The sequence below is a fragment of the Homo sapiens genome, chromosome 2 (assembly GCF_000001405.40).
Source record: "Homo sapiens chromosome 2, GRCh38.p14 Primary Assembly".
NCBI classification, from domain to species: domain Eukaryota; kingdom Metazoa; phylum Chordata; class Mammalia; order Primates; family Hominidae; genus Homo; species Homo sapiens.
Genome location: NC_000002.12, coordinates 33,580,829 through 33,601,745, shown reverse-complemented (window position 1 = coordinate 33,601,745; position 20,917 = coordinate 33,580,829). Strand labels below are relative to the sequence as shown.

The following is a 20,917-nucleotide window of genomic DNA, read 5'->3' as shown; positions in this document are numbered from 1 at the left end:
TGGGTGTGCCTTCTCACAAGAGTACCCTTAAGTAATTATTCAGCCTCTAGGTGAACACCTTCTAGACAGGAAGCTCATCATCTCTCAACGATACCTAAGTCACTTTAAGACTACTCTTAGAGTGTTAGAAAAATTCTTTCTTATACTGATCTGATGCAAAAACCAGAGCTTCCTCACTTCCAAATCATTGTTCCTTTCATTCTAGTAAACTCAGTTTCAAAGAGGTCTTCAGATATCAGGTTCCATTATAAACATAAATAATTTCTAAATAAAATGCAAAAGATTCCTCGTAGATCCCATTAAAATGATGACAATTTTTTTTCTTTCTTTCTGAGCCTGCCTGGTAGGGAACACAATTTTGTTTAAGTAGTATTTAAAAGCTTTTTTTAATTGCAGAGAAAGCCATTGTAGAATTCCTTTAAACCATAATATATAAAAATTTCATATCAGCAATCCTTCATTTAAGCTAACGATGTGAATTAGAAAGAGAATACTATTCCTGCAAAAGCTGGATTTTTTTTAAAGAAAGAAAGGGAATACTAATACTTTTAGGGAAGTCATCACTCGTTCATTCACTAATATTGAACACAATATTATATTCAATATTAGTTCAATATTGAACACAGCTTACATCAAAAGTGAGTCAAGAATGAAACCCTTTTTCTTTCAAAATTGATTTTTGTATTAGGCATGACTTTTTGTTTAGCACCTTCAACAACCCTATGAGGAAAATAATTATTCAATTATTATAAGGTAATTATGTACAATATATACAAGTTTAAACAAATTCAACTAGCTAAATTTTCCTCTTTTCACATCCTGCGTATAAATCCTTATTTGACTAGTCAAAAAAGAAGGAATATGGATTTAGATATACCTCAATCTCAAAATCTAGTTTCATACTTACAGGCATTAAGATCGCTGAAGATTATTAAGCCACTCAGCCTTAGTGTCCTCATCTGTAGAATGTGACTAATATTCACACAGCCTTATGGTGACTGCATCATAATGGGCCATATCAAGTGCCCATGGTAAGTGCAGAAAACCTACCCCCACTTCAGATGATGCAAAATAAGGAAACTGAAAAAGGTACTACTGGCCGGGCGCGGTGGCTCACGCCTGTAATCCCAGCACTTTGGGAGGCCAAGGTGGGCGGACCACAAGGTCAGGAGATCGAGACCATCCTGGCTAACATGGTGAAACCCCGTCTCTACTAAAAATACAAAAAATTAGCTGGGTGTGGTGGTGAACGCCTGTGGTCCCAGCTACTTGGGAGGCTGAGGCAGAATAATGGCGTGAACCCGGGAGGCGGAGCTTGCAGTGAGCCGAGATCGCACCACTGCACTCCAGCCTGAGCGACAGAGCAAGACTCCGTCTCATAAAAAAAAAAAAAAAAAAAGAAAGAAAAGAAAAAGGTACTACTAAGGATAGGAACATCTATCCATCAGACACAAAAATGCTTGAGAACTATAGAATAAAATCAACAGGTATCAATATGAAAACTCTTTAATTAAATGCCTACACGATTTAACAGTACGCCAACTTATGGTTAAATATAGTTTTCTAAATATGCCATCACTTTGAAAACATTTCTGATTTTTCAGTAATTTCTAAACACACCCTCAGTAACTGCCAAGATATCACAACACATCCACATCGTGAACTCAATGTTTCACCCGGGCAAATAATGTCAAAAGTAATGACAGTACAGCCAAAAAGTTTATTCACTGTCTAAACTACGTGGATTTAAAAATATTCTATTCTATTTGCTATGGAGTGAAGCTCCCCTTCTCCTTAAAATAACATGCTTAGTGTCTGGGAAGGGCTTTAGACATCAGGTAGAGAATGCATGAGGGAAAACGACCCAACTTTCTGAACATCCATAGTCTGCGGAAAGTTGGCTCATCCCTAACCCTGAAATAAAGCTACTGCAGCCACGAGGAAATCAAATGGCACGCTATCTGCCGTCTGCACTTGGCCCGCACCCGCGTCCTGAAGACGGGAGCGCAAGAATTCTCCCTTTCTACATGACCTGCAAGCTAAGGCTAGCACATGCCGGCACCCTACGAAGAGCCACCCGATCTCCTGTCTGGGATGCAGAGACTCGGTTTAACAGCCGACTCCACCCGCGTCCCGAGACTCTTCCAAGCTCCTTCCCGGCCCGCCGCGCCCCCTACATTCGCACATGCGTACACCCAATAACGAGAGCCGAGAGCGCTCCCCTTCGCGTGGTCCCCACGCCCAGCTGCCACGCAGCCGGTCCTCCTACCCTTCTCTGGGCGGCTAGCTTCACGATCCAGTAACGCGCATGTGCAAAACTGCGGGCCCTGTAATTCTTTAGTGGGCAGGGGTGGGGCGGTCAGTGGGACCAAGTTTCTTGCGCACGCTCCGGACATGCGCAGTGCGGGAGCTGAGGCGCCAGCTGTGGATTTGGAAGTTCCGGGGAAGTCGCGCATGCGCGAGTGTACGCGTTGCCGGCGAAGAGGGGAGCCTGACGACTCGGAAATTTGAATACCACAGTAGCATGGAGTGTGACCTCATGGAGACTGACATCTTGGAGTCGTTGGAAGATCTAGGGTAAGATTGTCAGGGCACGGGTCTCCCAAGCCCCACGCTGCCGGCCCCCTGGGAACACCTCCTGCGCCCCAGTCTGAGACACCTGCCTCTCCACGCCGCACCCCGTGGCTCCTGGCTGTCGCTTCCCTTTGGCCCCGGCACCCCCAATGCCACGTCCACTGTCTGCACTGCTAGCTCGGGGTCCTCCAATCCCAACACCCCTAGGCCTGCCCAGTGCTCCCTGCAGGCGAGCTACCCGCAGCGTTTGTCAGTCATGCGTGTCATTGTCTGGGCTCTGATTTTCGCCACCCCCACTCCCCGAGCTTCTCTCCTCGCTTCATCCTCCTGCCCTACCCCTTAACCCCTCAACTCTAAAGGTTGCCAAAGTTGATTCTGCTTTCCTACTTGTTCTCCAAATTTCCTACTCCCATCTTGAGCCCCTCCTCCTACCCCACCCCACTTCTCTCAAAATTTCTCCTTTGCCCAGTCATCTCTGCATGCACCCAGGCTTCGCTAAGCCACTTGTATGGGCGCTGCATCTGTTCCGCTGGCCAGCTCGCTTGTGCATCTAACCTATCACCACGTCCCTGGGAACCACCAGCAGTTTGCTTTGACTCTGTGATACTCTGCCTCGTTGAGCCCCATTAGACCAGGGTCGTCTTCACCCACGAAGAACCTGCGTATTTGTTTTGCATTGTGTCTCTCCTTCTCCTGATATTTATTCAACCATAATTCATCAGTATCTAGAAGCTGGAAATAGGGTTTGTTATCTCACTGGGTCACCCAGATCAGTGTACTCTATTAAACTTGAGAACGTGGACCCTCTTGGGCTAAATGTGGTTCCAGAAACAAATTGTATGGTTAGATACTTACCTACAGGTACGGTATCAAAACAAAGTACAGATTTAGCTAGCTGTATTTCTAAGTAACAAGTTCTTTATCAAAATTTTCTCTTAGGTTTTTCCATGACAAGGAAACCTTTGAGAGAAACCTTTCTTTAGGAAAAAACACCTTGAGGATTCCCAAAGTCTGCCTATTTGAATAATTTACTACCCTAGTAGAAATTTTTAGGAACGAAGTAGTCTTGCTTATCATCTGTCTTTGTCACAGTGAAATACTATTGTTCTTTTCTTGGAAACTTGCTCTGAATTTTTATAAATATTCCAGACTTTAGGGGGCTTCTTTCTTTCATTAGGGCATATGTTAAAGTCATTCAGCAAAATAGTCTCTTTAGTTGACATCTCAGACTGAATCGCTTGTTCACACATGAAACCATTCATTCATTAGGACTTTTTTAGGAACAGTTTCTTTGTGGCAGTGTTAGGCCCTTAGAGTACAAGGTGAGGTGGAAGAGGGGTTCACAGGATACTGGGAAAATATGCTGTGAGGAGCCCTGAGGAGGGTCCCTTTACTGGGAAAGGAAATGAAATCCTAGAAGCTTCTTTCTGGAATAAATGACACTATAGTACTGTAGTGGAATGAGTGGAATGAAAGGAAGGGGGTAGACCTTATTAAATGTAGTCTTTCTGCATGGATAGTGGTCACTTAAGAATTGGCCACGGATGCTGTTTCTTCCCATTATTGTCTTTTTTTTTCCCCCTCCTTTTTTTAACTTTTTATTCTTTTGGGTACTGTACAAGTAATTGTTACTGTAGTAATTGTAATCACATAACTACTTGACATAGAGTGTAATGTAAACCATGGATTTTCTGAAAACTGTTATAAATTTTAACCTTAACTACTTAGTTTGGTGGCATTCAAATATTAAAAGTCAGCCTTAATTAACTGAAATGTACTTTTAAAGGATTAACTGAGAAATATTAGAATTAAATGACTACCTTTTCTATTTATTTATTTATTAAGAGATGAGGTCTTGCTCTGGTGACCAGGCTGGTCTCGAACTCCTAGCCTCAAGCGATCCTCCCACTTCAGGCTCCGGAGTAGCTGGGACTACAGGTGTATGCCACTGATCCTGGCAAATAGTCATCTTTTATCTCTTACCTGGCACACAGTAGGAATTCAGTAACTACTTGTTGAATAAACTAATGAAGTCTAAATGTGAAACTCAAGGAGAAACTTCTAGGCCTAGTCTTTTGATTTCAGTGTCTAATAATACATAGTTTATAAATCTAGATGCCAGACTACATGTGATCTCATTTTTTTATGTATGATTTGTTTTCATTTTGTTGCATATACTGTATAAACCTATAATCATATTTTAAAGGGTTTGAGAACTGTCATTTCTCTAACATACCTGTAGTTCTCAACATTATATTATCTTTTTTTTTTTTTTTTTTTGATACGGAGTCTTGCTCTGTCGCCCAGGCTGGAGTGCAGTAGTGCGATCTCGGCTAACTGCAAGCTCTGCCTCCTGGATTCAAGCCATTCTCCTGCCTCAGCCTCCTGAGTAGCTGAGACTACAGGCGCCCTCCACCATGCCTGGTTAATTTTTTTGTATTTTTATTAGAGATGGGGTTTCATCGTGTTAGCCAGGATCGTCTTGGTCTCCTGACCTCGTGATCCACCTGCCTCGGCCTCCCAAAGTGCTGGGATTACAGGCGTGAGCCACCACGCCTGGCCTAAACATTATATTATCTTAAGCATATTTATTGTATCATCTTAAGTAAGCATTATTATCAATATTTAAGAGAATGTAAAGCAATCTGAATAATATGTATTTAAGATTACTTGGAGTGACAGAAATCTTATATTTTAGAATATTGGTGATTGGAGTTCATTATGACTGTCATCTTTTATGAATGTTTGAACATTTTTAAATTTTTTAAAATTATATTGGAATCACTTACAAAGGATTAGGATTCAGATGCGCCAGTTCATTAACTGCCAATATTTATTAACCTAACCTGACGTTTCTTTGGTACTAGAATGTCTTACTAGTCTTAACTGGCATTAAATTTATAAAAATGATATAAATGGTTAACTGGAAAGTTTTTACTTTTAAAGGAAGTCATTAAAAACCTAACTAAGCCTGGGCAACATAGTAAGACCCCTGGCTATTTTATAAAAAATAAAAAAAAAGCCAGGTTTGGTGGCTTGTGCCTTCACTGCACTTCAGCCTATGTGACAGTGCAAGACCTCATCTCAAAATAAAAACATAATCTAGTTGTTTTCTGGAAAATTTTTAGAAAAGATAACCTAAGTTTTATTTCTGAAATAAGTTACAGTATAATTAGCTATTACTTGTTAATTTGCTTTTAATACTCAATTCAATTACAGTAAGAAAATAAATCTTTTTACAATGGAAGCTTTTAGTAAATGTACAGAAGTTGACATAATTTAGTAGTATATGCAATTCTGTTAGATATTCACCTACATTTTGAAAGGTTGAAATGCAGCTACCATTTAGCTGCTTTTTGTAATGGTTCAGTATAGTTCTAAATTATGTTTATATTTGTCCATTTAAAATAAAGATAAGTACTAACTTATCTTTATTAAATTATTGCTTATATAAATAAGACATAGATATGTTTTATCTGTAATATATTAGGTATGATTGTATTTTCTTCTGAAATGTAATTTCTTGCTCACCAGTTACAAGGGCCCATTGTTGGAAGATGGAGCGCTCTCTCAGGCAGTCTCTGCTGGAGCCAGTTCCCCCGAGTTTACCAAACTCTGTGCTTGGCTGGTGTCTGAATTAAGAGTGCTCTGTAAACTAGAGGAAAACGTGCAAGCAACTAACAGTAAGTAAACATTCACTTTTAGGTACAAAGTATAAAAATAACATTGAGGTATTGTCAACTGAACATTATCAATACTAAAGCTGAAAGTTGCAAGTTTTTGTAAATGTAAAAAATTTGTAAAGAAGCCAAGATTTTTTTTCCGTCCGTTGTTTTTAGAGGTGATTCAGAAGTTGAAATACCAGAATAAAGTCATGTAACTTAAAAATTCGTGGATGCTGAAAAGACCCTATTACTGGGATACAGAGAAATGGAGACCACAAGCATAGAATGTATGAACTTCCTATATTTTGTAAGATGTTAAATGTAAGATCCTAGATTGATGGCTAGAACTAGATACTGGGATATTTTTCTTTTAGGATTACCAGATTCTAGAAGCATCTATAGCATGTAGAGTAAATGCATTATTATTCTGTTATGCTTGGGGAGAAAGAGAACACTTTGTTAAGACATTTTGTTTATCATAAGAATGCATCGTTAGATACATCACAGTGAGATCCAGGACAATCAAATTTATGGATCTGAGAGCTGTTCTGCATTTACCAATTTTGTTTCCACTGTTGCACTAGTTTGTCGACACTGCAAAAGAGGCAAAAGCTTGGAACCTACCACTCTACCATCTGGTTCCTTCCTGCTGTAGGTAAACCTATAATAGGAGACCAAGGAAAATACTCACCTGTTAACCCACCCTTATGGAGAGCTATACATATAATTCCTTTTTTTCCACATAATCACGTTTTGAAGAGCTCACCTTCTTGCATGCTAGTGTGTGTGTGTGTGTGTGTATATATATATGTGTATATATATGTGTGTATATATATATGTGTATATATATGTGTGTATATATATATGTGTATATATATGTGTGTATATATATATGTGTGTATGTATGTGTGTGTGTGTGTGTGTGTGTGTATATATATATATATAATTTTTTTTTTTTTTTTTTTTTTTTTAACTTTATGTTCCGGGATACATGTGTAGAACATGCAGGTTTGTTACATAGGGATACGTGTGCCATGGTGGTTTGCTACACCTATTGACCTGTCCTCTGAGTTCCCTCTCCTCACCCTCTAACCCGCAACAGGCCCTGGTGTGTGTTGTTCCCCTCCCTGTGTCCATGTGTTCTCATTTTTTAACTCCCACTTAGTGGTGAGAACATGTGGTGTTTTTTTTCTGTTCCTGTGTTAGTTTGTGGAGGATGATGGCTTGCATGCTGGTATATTTAATGTGTACGTGTTAGTTGCATTCAGTTCTAATTATTAAGGAGAGTATAGTGTAACAGTAATGATAGCAACAGCTTACATTTATTGTGTACTCACTATGTTCTAAACACTTTATATGTGTTAACTCATTAAACCTCAGGGCAACCCTATGAGGCAGGTTTTATTACTGTTATACCTTTAACAAGAAAGCCCAGAGAATTTAAATACATTGCCTGAGGTCATACAACCTGTAGGGGTGAAGCCTGGTTTCAACCCCAGAACAGTAGTCAAGTTCTGAGCCAGTGTGCTTGAACACTGTGCTATACTGCCTCTTGACCAGATGTTTGAGAGACTGTAGGAACCTTTGAAAACACCAGTACTAGATGATACCTCTATTTAACCTGGAGCCCCTTTTTCTCAAATGAAACATGATACAGAAGCTAACATGTAAAACAGGTTAGAAGGTATTCTAACAAAGTAGAGACGAGGTACCTTTAGCCCAGCTCTTTCCTCCTCATCCTCCCAGCTGCCTCTAAAAGAGCTCTGTGGAACTCAAGGGCTCACAGATCACAGTTTGCAAAATATTCATAATGTAGGCTTCCTGTATTACAGATTAGAAAATGGACTCAGGTGATCAAGTGACTCTCTCAGAGTTTGTTAATTTCTTCCCCTTTGTGATAGTGAATAGAGAACAATCAAAATAATGAAGAAAGAGCTTTGTTTTTCCTTTGGTTCACCCAGTGAACTCTATACCTTTTTTTATATGCTGTGGGAATACAAGACTGTAAGTCATGTTTGCTGTCTTCAAATTTTTTCTAATTGAGAATGTTAGGCACAAATTAAACAACTGGAGATAAGTACAGTCCTTTTGTTTGTTTGTTTTTAGACAAGATCTCACTCTGTCACCCAGGCTGAAGTGCAGTGGCGCGATCTGGGCTCACTGCAACCTCTGCCTCCCAGGTTCAAGCAATTCTCCAGGTCAGCCTCCTTAGTAGCTGGGACTACAGGCATGTGCCACGACAACTGGCTGATTTTTGTTATTTTTCTTAGAGACGGGGTTTTGCCACGTTACTCAGGCTGGTCTCGAACTCCTGAACTCAAACCATCCACTCGTCTCGGCCTTCCAAAGTGCTGGAATTACAGGCATGAGCCACCGTGCCCGGCCAAGTACAGTACTTAAATGCTGAACCACTTTGTGGTTCACAGAGAGAGGAAATCAGCAAGTACGAGGGTGAAGTTTCAGCCAAGTACAAGGAAGGTTTCATCAAGGAGCAAGGCCACTGGGCTTTGATGGATGGGTGGGATTTGCTAGAGGGGAAGAGAGTAGAGGACATATCTGTCACAGGGAATAACTTAAATGAAGGCACAGAGTGGAAATAAGACTGGCTATTCATGGGACAGTGAGGAGACTGGCCTGGCACACACAGGAAATATTTGTGGAGGGAATGTAGGTGATTATAGCTGAATATGCTAGGAAGAACAAACCTAAGCAGCTATGAAGAATCTTTAAAAGCAGACAGAAAAAAATCAGATTGGATGAGGGAGAAATTAGGGAACCATTAAAGACTCCCAAATAAGAGAATGACCTAATGAACACTGAGAAAGAAAATTTTAGATTGGGAGCAGTGGCTCATGCCTGTAGTAATCCCAGCACTTGAAGACGCCAAGGTGGGAAGATAACTTGAGGCCAGGAGTTTGACACTAACCTAGACAACATACTGAGACCTAGTCTCTACAAAAGAATTTTCTAAATATTAGCCAGGCATGGTAGCATACACCTGTAGGCCCAGCTATTCCGGAGACTTAAACAGGAGGATCCTTCAAGCCCAGGGGTTTGAGGTTACAGTAAGCCCTGATCACACCACTGCACTCCAGCCTAGGCCTCAGAGACCTTATCTCAAAAAAGAAAAAAAAAGAAGAAACTTTGCAGTGGTGTAAGAAAGGATAAATTAGAAGGGGAAAAAACTCAAGTTATGAAAATCCTATTAACAATTTCAATTATATATAATAATTGTTATGCTAATGGAAAAATAATCACTATCATTAAATAAGATTATTTTAATTCTTAAAAGGTCCGAGTGAAGCTGAAGAATTCCAGCTTGAGGTGAGTGGGCTACTAGGGGAGATGAACTGCCCGTATCTTTCACTGACATCTGGGGATGTGACCAAGCGCCTTCTCATTCAGAAGAACTGCCTCCTCTTGCTCAGTAAGTTCATGGCTACTAGAATATAGCTATTACTTTCTGTTTATGTTTTCCATGACTAATAAACTGACCATGGTTTTTTGTTTGTTTATTTCATTATGAATGTAATTCAAAATTCATTTTAAAATAAAACTTTCTTAAATTTCCAATTTAGGAGCTGAGGGTAGACGTGTGCACTGGTAGCATTATTGTTTTTGTAACTGATACTCTTTCAATATTTCAGCCTCAGTGGTACTCAGGCCGTTGTGCTTCTCCTAATGTGATCACTGGTAGTTTTGGAGTGTTGCTCAAGTGTGTGATCATTAAACTTACATTTTAGACTAGAAGCACATTTTTAAGTATATTAGGAAGATAGTATGGAAATAATGGAGATTTTGTTTAGAAATTCATTTCTTTGAGGAGAGTAAGCATTTATAATAGTAGATACAGTTAATGGTTAATGTAATTTAAAGTATTTTGTCTTGTTGCTATTTCTTTGTGGTTGGGTAATTGGGGATTTTGGTTTTGTTTGTAAATATTCTGGAATAATACTTGCATTGTTCTGGTACTTATTCTGAGAAATGAGTTTTTATGAAAAGTTCTTTCCTTCCATGTTTTTTACATACTTACTACTGTTTTGTCTCTTCACACTGAAAAACAGTAAGTAGATTCAAAAATTTTATTGCCTTCTATAAACTTTCCAATAAATACAACCTATAGTCTTAACTCAGAATTTATGTAGCATTCTGAAGCACATTTACATTAAGCTTTGGTTAACTGGCTATTATAGTTCTCATTATGACAGACAATTCAGAGGATTTTTAAAATCTTTGTTTTTACAACTCTATTATGGTTTCTGAAAAAATTATACAACTTCAGTTTTTAAGGTTCTGTTAAAAAAAAAAAAAGTGTTCATAGCCATTATACTTAGGCACTAAGTTATTCCAGAATCACTTTTGTAACTTCCCCTTTGTCTGTCAAATGATTGTTATTGTGGGAATGTGCACGTAAGGTTAGGTGTTGCTTTAGATACTGATATTGCTGCTGGTAGTTCTTACATATTCATTTAATATTCTTCATATTGTACAATTTCTGTAACTGATTCAATAGCAGTATACTCAGCTGATTCTTCCTTTATAGCATTGCTTATCCTTTACCAATATTTGGCACTTAGAATATGTTATCTACATAGGAAGATAATAGCTGTGTGGAATGCTTACTAATGACCCTGAATAGCTAATTCTTCCAAAGAGCTCAGAGTTTGGCCTTTTTAGCACTGATACTTATACAAACCACTTGAATGTAAGTATAAAATGCCTTTCACACTTTTCTGTTTCTTAAGCAGACTTCAGTGAACATTATTTTGGACTCAGGGTCATAATTCTAGACTTTATTTTAATCTGCTATCATCACCTCAAATGCTTTTCAAGAATATACCACTATTTGCTCTTCAATTAAATGACTAAATCATCTAGAGGTCACTCACTTTTTATATTCTTCATACATACATATATACACACTGTTTCCCTCTTTATCTTTGCTTCTGCCGATTCTCCCTTTCTAAAATATTCTCCCCAGTTTGTAACCTCTCTTTCATTCTAGCATTTACCTACATGTACTCATTTTTGACTTGGTCTATGTAAATATTTCTCATCTTTTGAAGTATCAGTTGTCACATCTGGATGCTATAATTTTACTTTTCCAGCACCCTTACCTCACTAACTTGAATCTTTTATCACATTGTATTTTAGGGGGGAAAACAAACCAGCCTCATTAGAATTGTTGGAAAAATAGAATAGCCTTTGAGTGAGAGGCTGAAAAGCTCTCATGTATCAGATTAAGGACTCTGTTTGGCTCTTCATTGGCCTTTTATGGTTCTCAGAGTGTTGCCCTTACGTAAATTAAGTAAGATGTCTGAGTTCCTAATAGATGAAGAACTATTCATCTTTTATTTTTGCATATACTCTTTATTCCTAACTAGATTATCGGAAGAGGTCATCTTTTTGATGTTTTAAAAAATGTTATCTTCAGTGCCTTTCCCAGTGCTTTGAACATACTGATTACGATTAAAGTTTTTTCATGATAATTATATTGGTAACCTAATTTTGTGAATACCTGAACTATGTTATCCCAAATTTACAGAACCAATATATTAAATCATATAGTATATGATTTTCTAGAACAAGAGTTGGCAAACTTTTTCTAAAAGGGCCAGATAGTAAATATTTTTGGCTTTGTGGCCCTAAGTTCTCTGTCACAACTACATACCTTTGCTGTTACAGCATGAAAGCAGCCATAGACAATATATAAATGAGTGAGTGTGGCAGTGTCCTAATGAAACCTTATGTACAAAAACAGTGGTTGTTGTCTTAACAGTGGGGTTTTACTGTTTTGACGTTTTAACTCATAAATACAGTTTGCTGTATGGAACATGTTAAGATTTTACAGTGTCAAATCCATTTAGAATGACCTTTCCAGAAACTTAGCTGTATTTATTGTTTTAGAACAGGAGTTGGCAGCCTTTCAGAAATGATTTGCCAAAATTATGGCCTCTGTCCTTCTAGCATTACATTTTGGGTATAGGAAATTTGATACACAAGTTGACTTTTTTCTACTTCTAATAGGACCTGAGGGCCTTGAAAATATCTTTTCCCAAAACTGGTTTTGTTATATTGTCAGAAGAATCTCACTTTGTCACATAACCAGAAATCCTAAGATTCAAATGATTCTTAATCATCTTTTATAAAAATTGAAATGTCCTTGGGAATGTTAAAGGAATGAGATTGAATATTTATACCTTCAACTGAATTACCTGAAACAGATTGCAGCCCCCATTATACCAGGCTGAAATCAGCACACAAGGGGATGATACTGACACAAAGGGAACCATGCCAAAAAGTGCTTTGAAGGTTTTATGGTTGTTTTGAAGGGAATGGGGTGAGGAAAGTAGGGGGAAGGGAGTCCTGAGAAGAATATAGATGAAAGAGGGCTCTCTTTGATTAGCCAGAGGGCAACATAAGATTTGGAGACCATGGGAAAGGAGCTCTGGGGTGCCTTCCTGCTTCTCCTGTGAGTTAAGCTTTGACTTCTTATAAATGTTGTTTCACACCTCTTCTGGACAGGCTCCTAATTAATGGGAGACAAGAGAGCAAGGTAGTTGTGTCATTGATGCTCACAAGTAGTGAGAAGTTAAAAAAAAAAAATTAATTGTCATTAAAAATTGGTCACCTGCCTTCTTTTGCAAAATTTTTAACAGATGCCAACCCCTGTTCTGGAGGTTCCTTAATACCAGAATTCAAGATTCCAAATTTTTAGATGTTACTTACCTCGATCCTTCGGTTTCAAAGAGAATCGCTTATTTTAAAATTAACATTTAAACATTATATATCGCTTAAATAACTGAATTACATAACCAGTTTATTTCTTATTTCATTTGCAGGTAAAAGTAGTTTTTCTTTCTTGTTTTTATCCATTCTTGCAGCTTTAACAGTTACATATCAATAGGTCTATATAGTTGTGACTCCAGACTTATGACTATAACTATAGCTGTATCTCATTTTGAAATCTTATTTTGTTTACTTCAGCATACCTCATCTCAGAACTAGAAGCTGCCAGAATGCTCTGTGTGAATGCTCCTCCAAAAAAAGCTCAAGAAGGAGGCGGTAGTGAGGTCTTTCAAGAGTTGAAAGGCATATGTATTGCTCTAGGAATGTCCAAACCTCCAGCCAATATAACTATGTTCCAATTCTTCAGCGGGATTGAAAAAAAAGTAAGACCTTTAGTACCAAATTGTAGTGTATTAAAGGCATAGTCCTACATTTGTTTGAAATGAAGCAATTAATTTAATTTCTCTTAATGGGAACCTAATGTGCATATATTATTAAGTAATTGTTACGAAATGAGTTTTGGGTTTTAAATCCTAGATGCCTTAAAGATAAATTAGTATTTTAGTATTTTCCTAAAAACATGTTAGCATGTTTCTTTTTCAAAAAGGAAACTTTACACTGGTTTGTAAGCTAAAGTAAGCTAGATATAATGTAAAAAGGATTAAGATTTCAGTCCTTTTAAAAATTATTTTATCATTGAACTTTGATACAGTCAATTTAAGTTCTTTATCACTAAATGTTACCACCCTCCTCCCCATTGACTGGACAGAAAGGATATTAATATTTTTGTTTTTTAATCCAGTCACTTCAAACCTCATGCTTCAATTGACAAAATAGATTTGTTGACTGCTAACATAATCTAGTATGTGAAAAGAAATTAGAATTATTTTTATACCACACATTATCAGTTAAGATTTTCTATATAATTAATTAGGAACAAGCAATTTTAACAAAAATGAGTAGAAGAGAACGGTATTTGTTAAAGCACAGTTATTCCCTATACGCTTATCTGCTGGACTCTTAAGAATTGGTACATTTGCATTGTGGGGTAGACCAGCACCATGATGCACAAATTTGGCTGAACTCTACAGGGGAGCAGCAGTGTATCCATAGTCCATATTTTCCTGTGTGTTCATTCATCCATTCAGCAAATGTTCATTGAGTGCCTACTGTTGTCAGGCACTGTTCTAGGTGCAATGAAGGACTTCTGTAGGCGTGAGGAGTGGGACCAGTGAGTGTCTTTATCTTGTGGGTCTTTTACATTTGCATTTCAAAACATCCTCCACCTTTGCCTCTGTCAGGAATCTTCTTTTGATGGCAAGATATGATGGGAATTGGGAAGATGAGGATGTTTTACTTTTAGAGTTTTTATTCATTTATTTATGTTTTTGTGTCAGTTAAAGGAAACATTAGCAAAAGTTCCACCTAATCATGTGGGAAAGCCTTTACTGAAGAAGCCAATGGGACCAGCCCACTGGGTGAGTAGTAATCATCTTGAGTAAACTTTGTAAAGAACTATAGAGTTTATGATTTTCATGTCAACACTTACATTTTGTGCTTTTTAAATTATGTTTTCTTATACATAGTTTTCTAGTTGAACACCCTTAGAATCATTTTGTGAATCTCAGGATTTCTGCAGAATATTTTTATTTGTGTAAGATTAGAAGCACTTTTCTCATACTTTGTAAATATTTCACACAGCTGATAAAAGTAAACTGAAATTAAGTATGGTGCATGTTTCTCGTTGCCAAATGGATTGCCTTCAAGCCAAAAACTTCACTGGGCTGAGCTTCACACAGTAAATTATGGGAAAGATAAATAAGAATTGTGTACTTCACATACTCTTCATTATGTTTTGTGAATCAGCTTTTTGTCACCTATCATTTCATTAATTGTTAGTATATTATATGGAATAAGAACTTTTGACTGTTAAATGGCCGGGATCTCAGTTATGAATGACACAGACGTAGTTTTTGCCCTTTTGGGACAGAGAATCAAGCAGATTTAAACTCTAACTAGTCTTTTTAATTTTGCTTCAGGAAAAGATAGAAGCAATTAACCAAGCCATAGCCAATGAATATGAAGTCCGGAGAAAGCTGCTAATAAAACGTTTGGATGTCACTGTACAATCCTTTGGCTGGTCTGACAGAGCTAAGGTACACATTAAATAATTTAAAAGAGCAGACTATTTATAGACATGATCCCTGAACATCTAAACAATTTAGCTACTTGGCAACTATGGGAGAAGTACATAGAAGACACACATAGGGATTTTTCCTTAGTGAGTTATTGAGTAGTGGCTCTTTCAACTATTCAGCAATGATGAAAACATTTATTTTTCAATTTTCTATTTTTTAACAAATCTGAATTTTACAGTTCTTATTGGAGAGAGAAGTTCTTATTATGAGAGAAATGGAGTTATTCTGAAAATTACTAAAATAATAAATTGATTTCAAATTACTTGTTTACTTTAAATAATTTAATTTGCTAATAGAAGTTAGAAATATTGGATTTGGTATGATTTATAGACAATTGGAGAATTTGGTAAGACTTAAGTTTTTTTTCAGCTAAATGAGACAATCCAGGTAAAGACCTTGGTCATTCAGCAGATAGTTATTACCTCATAGAAACCAAAGATAGGAAAATTAAAAAGCAAAATTGTTGAAATAGCTTTATATTCTTATATTTAAATAGAGAAAATGAGTATGTTTGATCTGAGACCAATGATGGGGGAACCTTTTTATCACGTTGGCCTCATAACCCTAAAGGGGCACCCTCTCACTCCACCCCTGCCCCCACAGTCCCTGTCACTCCTTGTTGTGTCAACAAGTCTGGCAGCTGTACTTTTAAGGTAGTTCTTGACTATGTAGGAGCAGTAGTGAGTATATAACTTTTCCTACCATCTAGAGCCTAGTAAATATCATTATCAGATATTTTGGAGACCTTTAACTTATTTAATATGTGTTTCTTATGTCATTTTGAAAATTGACATTTCTCTTTGAACACTTTTCTTTCAACAGAGCCAGACAGAAAAATTAGCCAAGGTTTACCAGCCGAAACGTTCAGTCTTATCCCCTAAAACTACTATTTCTGTTGCCCATCTTTTGGCTGCAAGGCAGGACTTGTCAAAGATTTTAAGGACAAGCAGCGGCTCTATAAGAGAAAAGACTGCCTGTGCCATCAATAAGGTGATTAGAGTACCTTTAATTTTTTCCAAATGCATTTATTTCTGTTCATAAAATAAAAGTTTAAAATATCTTTCCTATTCTGTAGGTGTTGATGGGCAGGGTGCCTGACAGAGGTGGTAGACCCAATGAAATCGAACCTCCACCCCCAGAGATGCCACCGTGGCAGAAGAGGCAAGATGGCCCCCAGCAGCAAACAGGAGGCCGAGGAGGAGGGAGAGGTGGCTATGAACATTCCTCATACGGAGGACGAGGAGGTCATGAACAAGGAGGCGGGAGAGGTGGACGTGGTGGCTATGACCATGGTGGCCGAGGGGGAGGAAGAGGAAATAAGCATCAAGGAGGCTGGACAGATGGAGGGAGTGGTGGAGGAGGTGGCTACCAAGATGGTGGTTATCGAGATTCAGGTTTCCAGCCAGGTGGCTATCATGGTGGCCACAGCAGTGGTGGCTATCAAGGCGGAGGTTATGGTGGCTTCCAAACATCTTCTTCATATACAGGAAGTGGATACCAGGGTGGTGGCTACCAGCAGGACAATAGATACCAAGATGGCGGGCACCATGGTGATCGTGGTGGTGGTCGTGGTGGGCGAGGTGGTCGTGGAGGCCGAGGTGGTCGTGCAGGCCAGGGAGGAGGCTGGGGAGGAAGAGGGAGCCAGAATTATCACCAAGGGGGTCAATTTGAACAGCATTTCCAGCATGGAGGTTATCAGTATAATCATTCTGGATTTGGACAGGGAAGACATTACACTAGTTGAGGCTACCGAACCTTACATTTTGCTAGAGCTCAAGTAATAGAAACTTAGTTTCAGAATCCTGAATTCAGCACCTATTTTGAATTAATGTGAGACCACAGGTGGCAGGCAGATTCCTGCTTGGCATAAGCATTTGTAGGTCTTCATTCAATTCTGTTAGATTTTTTTATTGGACTTACATAATGCCGTTTATTTGAGAAACACATAACATCTCTCCTTTCTATGAAAAATTTTTTAAAAGGTGGTTAAAATTGCCTTTAATTGCCCAGTAGACTAATTCCACAGTCAGAACATGCAAACTTTTTTGAAGAAATTACTTGAATAAGTAGTTTTCATGTTTTCAATATGCAGTTTTGAAAATGAGGATTCACCTAGACTTTTTTAGATTTACTACTAGGAAACCTTCCTCATATGAATAACCATTTATATGTGTTTTGCTTAAAGTATTCCAATGCCTATTTTCCAAGCACAGTTCTGCCCCCCGGTTGACTTTTATGCCACGTGTGCTTCATGATGGAACTTTTAGGTCAGTTCCTATTAAATGAGCTCTTTTGCAGATAGCACATTCAGTAGCCTTATTTTGTTGATGGAATACTGTATCATATGCTCAACTCTGAAAACCTTGAACACGGCCAAAATCCATAAAGATTATAAAAGCAAACTAAGTTGTGAAGCTATAGTACATGTAGGCATTTAGTTAAGTATAGCAATTCAAACTGACCTGCATCCATCCAAAACAAATTCCTCCTTCAACCTTATTTTTACTTGAAATTTGCTAGAAGAAATAGCAAACCGAAATTTGTTTTATGCATGAGTTAATACCACTGGCTCAGCAAATACAAGTTAGTTTGCTTTAAGCAGGTAACTTTTTTTGTAATGGAAGAAATGCACTACAAAGTTAAGACAGATTTTTGCTAAGTGCAGGAGGCCCTTTATTATTGCTGCAGAAAACAAAAGCCTGGCTGAGTTGATGTTTTACATTCTCCCTTACTGAAATCTACATGACATGATGCTTCTTGCTGGGTTTTTGTACATGTAAACATTGTCAAGCTGTGAAAGAAAATGGCTGGAGGTGTGCTTTGTGTGAAAGGTGAGCAATAAAGTATCTGTTAAGTTCTCTCTTTGGTTTGAGTTTTATTTTAGCTACTGAATTATTCTGGACTCTTGCGTCAAGCTGATGAGCTAAGGCTTTTGTTCCCAAAGATTCTTGAGTATTTCCTTAAAACCTAATTTTAGTGAAAGGTGACTTTTATCCTAAAACCTTAAATAAATGGAAAAATGGCTCTTTCCAGGTTTTCCTTTTATAATAATATAGCTAGAAACCGTCACCACTCATCTCTGGCCACTGGGTGTAGCTGTTGCTACACATACTAGGCAAAAATGTTTTTAGGGTTTTTTTGTTATTTGCTTCTCCATTCTTCCTAAGATTGGGGGACTTTTTTTAAAAAAGGAAGTAACTGAAAATATAAATATGTTTATCAAAAGAGAAATTGTATTTCCTTTCTACTAAATTGGGCTTTTTTAAAGAATCAACTCATGTCATGCCATTTAAAATAATCTACTTGCTACTGAGATAAGCACATTCTTCTAATACTAAAACCATCTTTGAAAACCCACATTGATCCTTTTAACTTTACCTGTTTATTTTTCAGCTAACATTTACAATTATTTTAAAATGTTCAAATTTGAAGACAATTTCAAGTGTTTTATCATTAAAGTAAGTTAAGGTTTTAAGTTGTCTTGAATGTTGTGTTGGTTTCTTTAAACTGTTAAGTAATTATGTTTATATAGGATTTCCTATTAAAATTGTCAAGGTTTCATATTTTAAATGTATCATATCTTAGGATGTATTTATATTTAGTATTTGCTTTGATCTGTTTTGTAGCCTCAGACTCCACAATATAGCTAATGAATACAGGTTTCATTCTTTTGAAAAATATTTTGATTTATCTTTACGGTTAATAGATTGCTTTTTCGAATATAAGGATGTAAGAACACAAATGATACATTTCGCCCTGATAGTTCTGAAATCTGCAGCTCCTGCTTCAAACTAGATTTTCCCCCAACATTATTATTTTTTAAAAAACTTCTATGTTCAGGGGTACATGTGAAGGTTTGTTATACAGGTAAACTTGTGTCACAGCGGTTTGTTGTACAGACTATTTCATCATCCAGGTATTAAGCCCAACACCCGAAGGTTATCTTTTCTGTTCCTCTAGTTCCTCCCACCCTCCACCCTCAAGTAGACCCCTATCTGTTGTTTCCCTCTTTTGTGTTCATGCGTCTTCATCATTTAGCTCCCACTTATAAGTGAGAATATGTGGTATTTGGTTTTCTGTTCCTGTGTCAGTTTGCTAAGGATAATGGCCTCCAGTTCCAGCCTTGTTCCTGCAAAAGACAGGATCTCATTCTTTTTTATGGCTATATGGTATTTTATGGTGTGTACATGTACCACATTTTCTTTATCCAGTTGGTCATTGATGGGCATTTAGGTTGATTCCGTGTCTTTCCTATTGTGAATAGTGCTGCAGTGAATATATGCGTGCATGTGTCTTTATGGTAGAGTGATTTATATTCCTCTGGATGTATACCCAGTAATGGGATTGCTGGGCCGAATGGTAGTTCTGCTTTTAGCTCTTTGAAGAATCGCCATACTGATTTCCACAATGGTTGAACTAATTTGCACTCCCACCAACAGTGTATAAGTGTTCCCTTTTCTCTGGAACCTTACCAGCGTTTGCTGTTCCTCCCCCGCCTCTCCCCATTCTGAAACCATAAAAGAATTGAGTTTTTTCTCTTGAACATAGATCAAGTTCTCTAGAAACAGGATATTTCAAACCACCAGTTAGTTTTATTGTTATATTAAAGTTCTTAGGTTTTGTATAGAGAGTATCTTTTGATCTTATATGCATTCTTAACCTTAACTTGTAAATAATGATTTACTGGAATATAGGGCATATGAGAATTTCTTGGAGAAACAAGCGAAAAATATTAGGAGAGAATTTTTAACATGATATCTTAAACTGTTATCTCTTAAAACGGATACAGTGAGACAGACAGTACCTTTAGTTAATGTTCTGTTTCCTCCTACTACTAGGAACTAGAATAGGATGTCAGTATTCTCTATGAAAACTATTAAAGATATACCACTATCATTTTTATTTCTTGCTGTAGATCCAAACTAATCTAGTGTCCAACTGTGGTAGACATAGAATAGGCAAATTCTTGCTGAGGGAAGGCATTTGAATCATTTCTATATATACTTAATTGATTTCCCAGTGCCCAGATTACCTCCATCCTTAGACTTAAATATTTTTAGGTTGTGCCCATTGTATCTTTCTGGATACTTTGTCTACCTATATTACATCCTTTTGAAAATAGTTTTTAAATATGTTTATATTATTTAATCATACCCCCGCCTCCCACTTTAGGTAATTTGGATAGCATTTGATCCATTTGTTTTTTAACAGAGAGGGTTACCTAAATAAAATTTAGGTATTTATTTGTATTTTACCTAAATAAAAAAATGAGTTTACCTGAATGAAAAAGTACATTCATCACAGAATACTTAGCATTTTATGACTTCTTATTTTCCTGTTTTTCTTGTTTTTCTCATTCTTCATTATCATAGTAATAACTAGAAATGCTTTTTTTTTCCCTGTGGTTTCCATATTTGTATACACTAATGTATTCCTAGGGTTCAAATCACTGATTCAAACAGGTATGCATGTCAGTGTTTGAACTCACTTTCCGCTTGCACAATTTTAGTCACCTGCAGATGTGCGGTTATAAGTTGGAGTAAACATAACTGTTGGTATGAGAACTTCCACAGTAAATCATTCCCTGCCCACTAAATGTAATAAAGAGGCCGGGGGCAGAAATAGATAGGGAAGAAAAAAAAAATGTTTCCTAGGAATTTGGGTCGGGGAGAAAAAAACCTCTTAAAATGA

The 20,917-nt window shown here is 37.5% G+C and overlaps 1 protein-coding gene and 1 long non-coding RNA gene across 4 annotated transcripts in view, besides 5 other annotated features; one reads left to right on the top strand and one right to left on the bottom strand.

Moving 5' to 3' along the window:
* LOC105374455 (uncharacterized) overlaps nt 1–2,401 on the bottom strand; it is a 56,893-nt gene extending 54,492 nt beyond the window's left edge. For both annotated transcript variants that reach the window (XR_939941.3, XR_939942.3), the window contains exon 1: nt 908–2,401. This is a non-coding gene — a long non-coding RNA (uncharacterized LOC105374455). The remainder of the gene's footprint in view (nt 1–907) is intronic.
* Nucleotides 1,934–2,163: an enhancer, noted in NCBI's record as "active region_15573". NCBI's record gives its function as "activates an Ori minimal core promoter by ATAC-STARR-seq in GM12878 lymphoblastoid cells {active_cell/tissue: GM12878}" and the evidence as "EXISTENCE:reporter gene assay evidence [ECO:0000049][PMID:35858748]".
* Nucleotides 2,304–2,353: an enhancer, noted in NCBI's record as "active region_15572". NCBI's record gives its function as "activates an Ori minimal core promoter by ATAC-STARR-seq in GM12878 lymphoblastoid cells {active_cell/tissue: GM12878}" and the evidence as "EXISTENCE:reporter gene assay evidence [ECO:0000049][PMID:35858748]".
* Nucleotides 2,384–2,453: an enhancer, noted in NCBI's record as "active region_15571". NCBI's record gives its function as "activates an Ori minimal core promoter by ATAC-STARR-seq in GM12878 lymphoblastoid cells {active_cell/tissue: GM12878}" and the evidence as "EXISTENCE:reporter gene assay evidence [ECO:0000049][PMID:35858748]".
* FAM98A (family with sequence similarity 98 member A) lies at nt 2,447–18,086 on the top strand. 2 transcript variants are annotated; one of them, NM_015475.5, is made up of 8 exons: nt 2,447–2,577; nt 6,109–6,257; nt 9,532–9,666; nt 13,227–13,411; nt 14,426–14,506; nt 15,068–15,184; nt 16,049–16,216; nt 16,302–18,086. In NM_015475.5, the coding sequence occupies exons 1-8, from the start codon at nt 2,525–2,527 to the stop codon at nt 16,968–16,970; spliced, it is 1,557 nt and encodes a 518-aa protein (NP_056290.3). In that variant the 5' UTR covers nt 2,447–2,524; the 3' UTR covers nt 16,971–18,086. The 2 variants fall into 2 exon arrangements, with proteins under 2 accessions (NP_056290.3, NP_001291467.1); NM_001304538.2 differs by lacking the exon at nt 13,227–13,411.
* Nucleotides 3,004–3,193: an enhancer, noted in NCBI's record as "active region_15570". NCBI's record gives its function as "activates an Ori minimal core promoter by ATAC-STARR-seq in GM12878 lymphoblastoid cells {active_cell/tissue: GM12878}" and the evidence as "EXISTENCE:reporter gene assay evidence [ECO:0000049][PMID:35858748]".
* Nucleotides 17,478–18,297: an enhancer, noted in NCBI's record as "OCT4-NANOG hESC enhancer chr2:33808516-33809335 (GRCh37/hg19 assembly coordinates)". NCBI's record gives its function as "activates a minimal SCP1, AML or CMV promoter by ChIP-STARR-seq in naive H9 embryonic stem cells {active_cell/tissue: H9 hESC(naive)}" and the evidence as "EXISTENCE:reporter gene assay evidence [ECO:0000049][PMID:30033119]".